Raw genomic sequence first — 11,466 nt, 5'->3', positions numbered from 1 at the left:
TGTAAGGCAGTTCTGGTAATAATGAATTGCCTCAGCATTTGCTTATCTGAAAAATATCTTATTTCTCCTTCACTTATGAAGGTTAGTTTGGCTGGATATGGAATTCTTGGTTGAAATTTCTTTAAGAATGTTGAGATCATGGCAGATGGGAGGCAGGACTACATTGCAGCCCCCACTCGGACAGAGAGACAGTGTGTGCAGGCTGACATCATGAACTTTTGCTCCAGCATGACTGCAGGAATACACTAGGAAAGTCAAGAGAACCCACAGACCCTCTGAAGGAAGCAGATTGCTCCTGCAGGACCCAGGAGACACCCCAAATACTGTGGAGTGGCCAAACTGTGGAAGTGGGAAAGGGAGATCGTCCACCCTTGAACACATGCCCCCACTGGGGAAACTGGAGGTCTAGATTAAGGAGATTCTGACCTTACCTGGAGCAGAGTCCATTTAGAGAGCCAAGTGAAATACAAGTGTAGAGGAAGCAGTGGGAAAAGCCCTGTCGGATTGCTGGGCCGCCTAGCAAGCCATTTCTGCCTTGTCTCACAGGGGTCCTTGAGGAGGGCTGCCAGAGGCACTGGGAAAATGTCACAAGAAGGAAACCTCCAACTGAACTTTGTAACAATTTGAACTGATTGAGAAGTCTTCTGGCCAGAACTCAGGGGAGGGCATGAATCCAGTGTGCAGACTCCACAGGCAGGAGAATAATGAAAGCCCTATTTGCTTTCACAGCTGGGAGGCAGGTAGCCTGGGGCAAGCTGTTAGCCCTGCTCATCTACTTCCTGGAAACAGACTCTGTGCTGTTGCAGGGGGGAATGGTGGGAGTGAGACCAGCCTTATGGGTTGCTTGGGAACTGGGTGAGTCCTGTGATTGCCAGCTTTCCCCCATTTCCCTGACAACCTACATGACACAGTAGAGGCATCCATAAGCTTCCTAGGAACATAATTCTATTGACCTGGGAACCTCACCTTCATCCCCCACAGCAGCTGCAGCAAGACCTGTCCAAGTAGAGTCTGAGCTCAGACATGCCTAGACCTGCCCCCACTTAATGGTCCTTTTACCCACCCTGGTAACTGAAGACAAAGGACATATACTCTTGAGAGTTCTAGGGCCCTGCCCACCACCTGTTCCTCCCCATACTACCATAGCTGACCCTCTCTTGAAACCGCCACCTCCTGGCAGGAGGCCAAATAGCACAAAAATAGTGCATTAACCAACCAAATATAAGGATTCTCACAGAGTCCATTTCACCCCCCTGCCACCTTCACTGAAGCAAGTGCTGGTATCCACGGCTGAGAGACCCACAGACAGTTCATATCACAGGACTCTGTGCAGACAACCCCCAGGACCAGCCTGGAGCCTTGTACACTTGCTGGGTGGCTAGGTCCAGAAGAGAGATAACAATCACTACAGCTTGGCTCTCAGGAAGCCACCTCCCTAGGAAAAGGGAGAGACTACTACCTCAAGGGAACAACCCATGGGACAAAAGAATCTAAACAATAGCCTTGAGCCCTAGGCCTTCCTTTAGCAAATGAGAAGAAACCAGAAAACAACTCTGGTAATATGACAAAACAAGGTTCTTTAACACCATCAAGAAAGCACATTAGCTCACCAGCAATGGATCCAAACCAAGAAGAAATCCCTGATTTACCTGAAAAAGAATTCAGAAGGTTAGTTATTAAGCTAATCATGGAGGCAACAGAGAAAGGCAAGGTCCAGTGTAAGGAAATCCAAAAAATGATACAAGAAGTGAAGGGAGAAATATTTAATGAAATAGATAATGGACAAACTTATAGAAATGCAAAATGCTCTGGAAAGTCTCAGCAATAGCATCGAACAAGCAGAAGAGAAAACTTCAGAGCTCAAAGACAAGGTTTTTGAATTAACCCAATCTGACAAAGAAAAAAGAATAAGAAAATATGAACCAAGCCTCCAAGAAATCTGGGATTAGGTTAAACAACCAAACTTAAGAATAATCAACATTCCTGAGGAAGAGAAGAAACCTAAAAGTTTGGAAAATATGTTTGGGGGAGTAATTGAGGAAAACTTTCCCAGCCTTGCTAGAGAACTAGATATCCAAATACAAGAAGCTGAAAGAACTCCTGGGAAATTCATCGCAAAAAGGTAATCACCTAGGCACATTGTCATCAGGTTATCTAAAGTTAAGACAAAGGAAAGAATCTTAAAAGCTATGAGGCAAAAATGCCAGGTAACCTAAAAAAGAAAACCTATCAGATTAACAGCAGATTTCTCAGCAGAATCCTACAAGCTAGAAGAAATTGGGACCCTATCTTCAGCCTCCTCAAATGAAACAATTATCAGCAAAGAGTTTTATTTCCAGCGAAACTAAGCTTCACAAATGAAGGAAAGATACAGTTGTTTTCAGACAAAAAAATGCTGAGAGAATTCACCACCACCAAGCCAGCACTATAAGAACTGCTAAAAGGAGCTCTAAATCTTGAAACAAATCCTGGAAATGCATAAAAACAGAACCTCTTTAAAGTATAAATCTAACAGGACCTATAAAACAAAAATGCAATTTAAAAAAAGGTACAGGCAACAAATAGCACAATGAATGGAATGGTAGCTCACATCTCAATACTAATATTGAACATAAATGGCTTAAATGTTCCACTTAAAAGATACAAATTGCAGAATGGATGAGAATTCACCAACCAACGATCTGCTGCCTTCAAGAGACACAACTAACACATAAGGATTCACGTAAACTTAAGGTAAAGGGATGGAAAAAGTCATTCCATGCAAATGGACACCAAAAGCGACCAGAAGTAGCTATTCCTATATCAGACAAAACATGTTTTTTTTTATTATACTATAAGTTCTGGGACACATGTGCAGAATGTGCAGGTTTGTTACATAAGTATACATGTGCCATGGTGCTTTGCTGCACCCATCAACCTGTCATCTACATTAGCTATTTCTCCTAATGCTATCCCTCCCCTTGCTTCCCACCCCCAGGCAGGCCCCGATGTGTGATGTTCCCCTCCCTGTGTCCATGTGTTTTCATTGTTCAACTCCCACTTATGAGTGAGAACATGCGGTGTTTGGTTTTCTGTTCCTGTGTTAGCAGATAAAACAAATTTTAAAGCAACAGCAGTTAAAAAAGACAAGGAGGGACATTATATAATAATAAAAGGCCTTGTCCGACAGGAAAATATTACAATCCTAAATATATATGCACCTAACACTGGAGGTCCCAAATTTATAAAACAATTACTAAGAGACCTAAGAAATGAGATAGACAGAAACACAATAATAGTGGGAGACTTCAATCCTCCACTGATGGCATGAGACAGTTCATCAAGACAGAAAGTCAACAAAGAAACAATTGATTTAAACTATACCCTGTAGTAAATGGACTTACCAGATATTTACAGAACATTCTACCCAACAAACACATAATATACATTCTATTCAACAGTGCATGGAACTTTCTCCAAGATGGACCATATAATAGGCCACAAAAGAAGTCTCAATAAATTTATGAAAATTGAAATTATATCAAGCACTCTCTCAGACCACAGTGGAATAAAACTGGAAATCAACTCCACAAGGAACCTTCAAAACCATGCAAATACATGGAAATTAAATAACCTGCTCCTGAATGATCATTGGCTCAAAAACGAAATCACGATGGAAATTTAAAAGTTCTTCAAACTGAACGACAATCATGATACAACCTGTCAAAACCTCTGGAATACAGCAAAGACGGGGCTAAGAGGAAAGTTCATAGCCCTAGATGCCTACATCGAAAAGCCTGAAAGAGCTCAGACAATCTAAGGTCACACCTTAAGGAACTAGAGAAACAAGAACAAGCCAAACCCAAACCAAGCAGAAAAAAGGAAATGACCAAGATCAGAGCAGAACTAAATGAAACTAAAACAAACAAACAAAAATACAAAATGAAAAAAAGGTGGTTCTTTGAAAAGATAAATAAGATTGACAGACCATTAGCAAGACTAACCAAGAAAAGGGAGAAAATCCAAATAAGCTCAATTAGAAATGAAACGGATGATATTACAGCTGACACCACAGAAATACAAAAGATTATTCAAGGCTACTATGAACACCATTATGAACATAAACTAGAAAACCTAGAGGAGATGGACAAATTCCTCAAAAAAATACAACCTTCCTTGCTTAAATCAGGAAGAATTAGATACCCTGAACAGACAAATAACAAGCAGTGAGATTGAAACGGTAATAAAAAAAATTACCAACAAAAAAAATCCAGGACCAGATGGATTCACAGCAGAATTCTACCAGACATTCCAAGAATTGGTACCAATCCTATTGACACTATTCCACAAGATAAAGAGGGAATCCTCCCCAAATTATTCTACGAAGCCAGTATCACCCTAATACCAAAACCAGGAAAGGACATAACCAAAAAGGAAAACTACAGACCAATATCCCTAATAACATAAATGCTAAAATCCTTAACAAAATGCTAGCTAACCAAATCCAACACATATCAAAAAGATAATCCACCATGATCAAGTGGGTTTCATACCAGGGATGCAGGGATGGTTTAACATATGCAAGTCAATAAATGTGATACACCACATAAACAGAATCAAAAACAAAAATCACGTGATCATCTCAATAGCTGCAGAAAAAGCATTCAACAAAACCCAGCATGGCTTTATGATTAAAACTCTCAGCAAAATTGACATACAAGGGACATACCTCAATATAATAAAAGCCATCTATGACAAACCCAAAGTCAACATCATACTGAATGGGGAAAAGTTGAAATCATTCCCTCTGAGAACTGGAACAAGACAAGGATGCCCACTCTCACCACTTCTCTTCAACATAGTACTGGAAGTCCTAGCCAGAGCAATCAGACAAGAGAAATAAAGGGCATCCAAATGGGTAAAGAGGAAGTCAAACTGTCGCTGTTTGCAGATGATACAATTGTTTACCTAGAAGGTCCTAAAGAATCCTCCAGAAAGCTCCGAGAACTGATAAAAGAATTCAGCAAAGTTTCTGGATACAAAATTAATGTACATAAATCAGTAGCTCCTCTATACACCAACAGTGACCAAGCTGAGAATCAAATCAAGAACTCAATGTCTTTTACAATAGCTGCAATAAATAAAATATTTAGGAATATACCTAACCAAGGAGGTGAAAGACCTCTACAAGGAAAACTAAGAAACACTGCTGAAAGAAATCATCCCATGCTCATGAATGGGTAGAATCAATATTGTGAAAATGAACATACTGCTAAAAGCAATCTACAAACTCAATGCAATTCCCATCAAAATACCACCATCATTCTTCACAGAATTAGAAAAAACAATTCTAAAATTCATACAGAACCAAAAAAGCCCACAGAACCAAAACTAGACTAAGGAAAAAGAACAAATCTGGAGTCATTACATTATCTGATGTCAAACTGTACCGTAAGGTCATAGTCACTGAAAAGTATGGTACTGCTATAAAAATAGGCACATAGACCAATGGAACAGAATAGAGAACCCAGAAATAAACCCTAATACTTACAGCCAACTGATCTTAGACAAAGCAAACAAAAACATAAAATGGGGAAAGGACACTCTATTCAACAAATGGTGCTGGAATACTTGGCAAGCCACATGTGGGAGAATGAAACTGGATCTTCATCTCTCACCTTATACAAAAATCAACTCAAGATGGATCAAGAACTTAAATCTAAGACCTGAAACTATAAAAATTCAAGAAGATAACATTGGAAAAACCCTTCTAGACATTGGCTTAGGCAAGTTTTCATGACCAGGAACCCAAAAACAAAAGCAATAAATACAAAGATAAATAGCTGTGACTTAATTAAACTAAAGAGCTTTGCACGGCAAAAGGAACAGTTAGCAGAGAAAACACACAACCCACAGAGTGGGAGAAAATCTTCACAATCTATACATCCAACAAAGGACTAATATATCCAGAATCTATAACAAGTTCAAACAAATTAGCAAGAAAAAAAGCAAACAATCCCATTAAAAAGTGGACTAAGGACATGAATAGACATTTCTTGAAAGAAGATATATTAATGGCCAAAAAACATATGAAAAAATGCTCAGCATCACTAATGATCAGGGAAATGCAAGTCAAAACCACAATGCGATACCACCTTATTCCTGCAAGAATGGCCATAATAAAAAAATAAAGAAATAATAGATGTTGATGTGGATGCAGTCCACAGGGAACACTTCTACACTGCTGGTGGGAATGTAAACTAGTACAACCACTATGGAAAACAGTGTGAAGATTCCTTAAAGAGCTAAAAGTAGAACTACCATTTGATCCAGCAATCCCATTACTGGGTATCCGCCCAGAGGAAAAGAAGTCATTATATGAAAAAGATACTTGCACACACATGTTTATAGCAGCATAATTTGCAATCACAAAAATGTGGAACCAACCCAAATGCCCATCAGTCAATAAGTGGATAAAGAAACTGTGAGATAGATAGATATATATATATATATATATATATATATATATATATATATATATATATATATATATAAAATAAAATACTACTCAGCCATAAAAAGGAGTGAATTAATGACCTGGATGAGATTGGAAACTATTATGGTAAGTAAAGTACCTCAGGAATAGAAAACCAAATATCGTATCTTCTTACTCATAAGTGGGAGCTAAGCTATCAGGATGCAAAGGCATAAGAATGACACAATGGACTTTGGGGACTCGGGGGAAAGCATGGGAAGGGACTGAGGGATAAAAGACTACAAATTGGGTGACATGTATACTGCTCAGGTGACGGGTGCACCAAAATCTCACAAATCACCACTAAAGAACTTACTCATGTAACCAAACACTGCCTGTTGCCCAATAACCCATGGAAATCTTTAAAAAAATAAAATAAAAATAAAAAGAATGTTGAATATTGACCCCTAATTGCTTCTGGCTTGTAGGTTTTCTGCTAAGAGGTCTGCTATTAGTCTGATGAGCTTCCCTTTGTAGGTGTCCTGACCTTTCTCTCTAGCTGCCTTTAACATTTTTTCTTTCCTTTGGACCTTGGAGAATTTCATGATTATGTGTCTTAGGGATGATCTTCTTGTGAAGTATCTTGCTGGGGTTCTCTGCATTTCCTGAATTTGAATGTTGGCCTTGCTAGCTAGGTTAGGGAGGTTCTCATGCATGGTATCCTGAAGTACATTTTCCAAGTTGGTTTCATTCTCCCCATCTCTTTCAAGAACACCAGTGAGTCACAAATTTGATATCCTCACATAATCCCATATTTCTTGGAAATTTTGTTTATTCATTTTCCTTCTTTTTCTCTATTCTTGTCTGTCTTATTTCAGAAAGCCAGTCTTCACGCTCTGAAATTCTTTCTTTTGCTTGGCGTATTCTCCCATTAATGCTTACAATTGCATTCCTAAATAATTGTAGAATGTTTTTCAGCTTTGTTAGGTTGATTACTTTCTTTTCTATACTGGTTATTTATCTGTCAGCTCTTGTATCATTTTATTGTGATCCTTAGCTTCTTTGGATTGGGATTCAACATACTCCTGCATCTCAATGACCTTCATTCTTATTCATATTCCAAATTCTATTTCTGTCATTTCAGCTATCTCAGTTCAGTTCAGAACCCTTGCTGGAGAGGTAGTGAGTGCGGTTGTTTGGAGAAAGAAGACACTTTGGCTTTTTGAGTTGTCAGAGTTCTTGCACTGGTTCTTTCTCGTCTTTGTGGGCTAGTGTTTCTTCAGTCGTTAAAGTTGCTGTCCTTTGGGTGGATTTTTTTTTCTTTTATTCTGTTTGATGAGCTTGAGGGTTTGATTGTGGTATAAGATGGATTCAGTCCACTGGCTTCATTTCTGGAAAATTTTAGTGGGTACCAAGTCTCAGCTCCCAGCTCCTGGACTGCAGGCTGTAACTCTTAGGGACTTGTTTCGGGTCCTGACTTTGTTCTCTGGCTCCTCAAGGCTAGGAACCCACTGTGCTGGGGGAGTTGAGATGCTGCCACTCTACTGGTCCCTAAACTCTGATGGGTAGTGCCAACAAAAATGTGGTGGCAGTGGGCTCTGTCCTTGTTTGCACATGCCAGCAGCAGCAGCAGTGGCAGTGTCAACATGGAGGGGTGCACACTCATTGGCTACAGTAGGATGGTAGAGAGTGCTGGGATGCCTTCCTCCATGTAGGTGTTTACAGCAGCAGCAGAAGTAAGACTGCTTAGAGGGGTGGGGAGGCCCCTGCTGGCAACTGTGCTTATGGGCATGCTGGTGGTGGTGTTAGCATGGGGGTGGGGTGCTCTTCTTTTTTCAACATAAAATGATTTTCAGTTATTTGTAAAAGGGCTTCTTACATATAACTGGGAAGGAAGAGGTGAGGTTTGTGTTTTTAAATTACAGATGCTCCTTTAAAAAAATTGGAACTGTATTTTCATCAGTGAAACCCTCTGCTTTAAAATCTCAGTGTCATTGCCAAAGACTAAATACATTGACCTTGGACTCAATTTTGAGCTACACATTCATTTCTCTAGAATGTTGGTAAAAGTTGCAGAAGTAGAGTCATCTGTATATTTCTCTTCAAGTCCTTAAACTTTTAGTAAACCATTATTTATGGATCTAACACACTTGTAAACAATGCCAGCAACATATTATTTGTCCTGCATGCTTATAAAATTCTTTTTTTTTTTTTTGGTCATGGTTAGATGATTCCCGGTAACTACATTTTAATTCTAATTCTGAGAAGTAAGTAACAAAAAAACTATAATCCTTAAAAAAATCAGTTGAATTAACAAAGGCACTTGCTTCACACAAGATTAAATTAGGCCATATGAAAAGTTACTTTGCATAATCTCTTCATGACTTTGCATCTAGTTATTTCCAAGCTAATATATCTAGCCTCTAATTCAAAAAGAATTGTAGACATGACTTTATTATCTTCCTTATGGAAAATTTCTTGATAAAAATTAGGTTGCTTCACTATTGATTTGAATCTAATTTTAGCAGTGGTTAGAAGTTCCAACACAGCTTTCTACAAGGATTTGAGATTTGACATCCATCTTAGTAGGTGTTGATTTACTTTCTGTTTTAAGCAGTTTCCACATTAGGGATTTGGGGCTCATTCTACCCACAAACCCTAATAATTGCCTAGGTATAATGCTACTCTGCATATATCACATGACTGGTGGAAAAATAAATCATTCATTTAACAAATATTGATCAAAGTTCTGCTGTGTGCCAACTATTATGGCAAGTGTGGAAGAATCAGAATTAACTAAGAAGAAAAAACAGACATGGAAACATTTCAAGGAAGAACTAGCTAGAAGGGAAGGATACAGAAGGATGGTGTTGGCACAAATCTCTGCTTTAGGTAAGTCAGGAAGTTTTCTAAAGGAGACATTTAAGTAGGAATTTTCCTTTTGGAGTTGGGTTGGAGAGTAGGTAAGAAGAAATCAGGAGGGTTGAGCATTCCAAGGAAAGAAAACAGTAAAAGACTAGGGACATGAAATAATTTATTGCACATTGCTTGGCTTGGATGTAATTAGTAGAGTAGTTAGTTAGGCAACAAGTATTTATCAAATAACTACTAAGTGCCAAGCATCTTGCTTGGTTTTGGAGATTTCAGATGTAAAGAAGACAGACCCACAAAAATATTACAGGTAAGCCCAGAAGACAGATATTAAAGAAATGATTTCAAGTGTGTTACGTGCTTCAAAGAAGTGTTACTAAGTCTAGAAGAATAATAAGTTTGAAGTACCGAATGTTGCTCCTCTCTCTCAAGTTTGCCTACTTTTTCCTAACTTCATAAAGGCTTTCTTTTCCTGTCTCCATTCACAAACCCAATTCAAGTAGCTAGTCTCATTGCCTAAGAATACACTTTGACATTATGTAGAAAAGAAATAATCTCTGAGGCTTTTCCTAGTTTTGTCATTATTGGTATAATGATTGAAAGCATGGAAGTGGATAATTGACCTAAAGAGAACAAAGGGTGTAAGTGGAAAAAAAAAAAAAAAAAAAAAGCAGGGCCCAGCATAGAGCTATGAGGAGTGCACAAAGAAACTTAAGAAAGAGCTAAACAAGAAGTCAGAGTAAAAACAGACTGAGAGAGAGGGTAGGCAAGTGAGTTGGAGACACAGGCAAGGCCCAGATCATGAAGGACCATGTAAATAATGAAAGAGTTTTGTTCGAAATGGCCCCACACCCTCAGCTGTTCCTTAGTTACCCTTCCTCTACTCCCTGAACCAGGTTACTCCTTTTGTCGCTCCTCTATGGACATTTCAGAAAGTCCCCTATTTCCTCTGTTCAACACCCATTGCCTTGGGACAACCCTCCTCTTGCCCACACACATATGACTGATATGACTTAGCCAACTTTACTATGAGAAATGTAGTGGTACTGAAAGGATTTTTTCTCCCACTGTTTGTTTTCTCTCTGTTAAACATTTTTGTGAGTTTTATTATAGTATAATTTACATAAATAAAATTCATCAAGCTTAAGTGCATACTTCACTGAATTTGGACAATTGGGCATAGAGTGTAACCACAATCACATTCATGGCATGGAACTTCCCATCACCATGAAAAGTTACTGTATACTCCCTTTGCAGTTAATTTTTTCTCTCCACCCTCTGGAAAACAGTGATTGGGTTTCTGACACTATAGTGTGGCTTTTTCTAGAATTTCATATAGTGGAATAATAGAATATGTAGTCTTTTGTATGTGACTTCTTTCACAAACCATAATAATTTATAGAATCATCAATGCGAGTATAAGTAGTTTTTCCCCTTTATTGTTGAGTAGTCATTCATAATATGGATATGCCACAAACTGTTCATTCATTCTCAAGTTGATGGTATAAGGGAGCTTCAAAAAGTTCATAGAAAATGGAATTAAAAGACAAAAATAAAAAATGTAAACATTATAAACATAAGTTCAATCAAGTAAACTTAGACACTTTTATAAGTGATGATACCAGTTATTTAGTTCATCCCTAAAGAACTGAGGGTCCTGGAAATTTAACCATGCCAATGCAGTCTTCTTTACATTATTAGCTGAAGAAAAATGGGTGCCATGTAAATATTCTTTAAGATTTGGAAACAAAAAGAAATCAGAAGGAGCCAAATCAGGACTGTAAGTTGGATGTCTAATGATTTCCCATCAAAACTCTTGCAAAATTGCCTTTATTTGATGAGAGGAATGAGCAGGAACATAGTCATGGTGGAAAAGGTTAAATTTTCTGGGGTGTTTTTCTGCTAAAATGTTGGCTAAATTTCCCAAAACACTCTCATAATAAGCAGATGTTGGCCTTCCAGAAACTCACCAAGCAAAATGCTTTGAGTATCCCAAAAACTGTCACCATCACCTTTGTCCTTGACTGGCCCACTTTTGCTTCAACTGGACCACTTCCACCACTTGGTAGCCATTGCTTTGATTGTGCTTTGTCTTCAGGGTAGTACTGGTAAAGTCATGTTTCATCTCCTGTTACAATTCT

The 11,466-nt window shown here is 38.5% G+C and overlaps 1 annotated feature.

Annotated features, from left to right (window-relative positions):
* Window positions 584-1,084: an enhancer, noted in NCBI's record as "H3K27ac hESC enhancer chr6:79844665-79845165 (GRCh37/hg19 assembly coordinates)". NCBI's record gives its function as "activates a minimal SCP1, AML or CMV promoter by ChIP-STARR-seq in naive H9 embryonic stem cells {active_cell/tissue: H9 hESC(naive)}" and the evidence as "EXISTENCE:reporter gene assay evidence [ECO:0000049][PMID:30033119]".

Source organism: Homo sapiens, chromosome 6 (assembly GCF_000001405.40).
Source record: "Homo sapiens chromosome 6, GRCh38.p14 Primary Assembly".
Taxonomy (NCBI): Eukaryota; Metazoa; Chordata; class Mammalia; order Primates; family Hominidae; genus Homo; species Homo sapiens.
The sequence above is the reverse complement of the archived record's forward strand: the minus strand, read 5'-3'. Positions and strand labels throughout refer to the sequence as shown.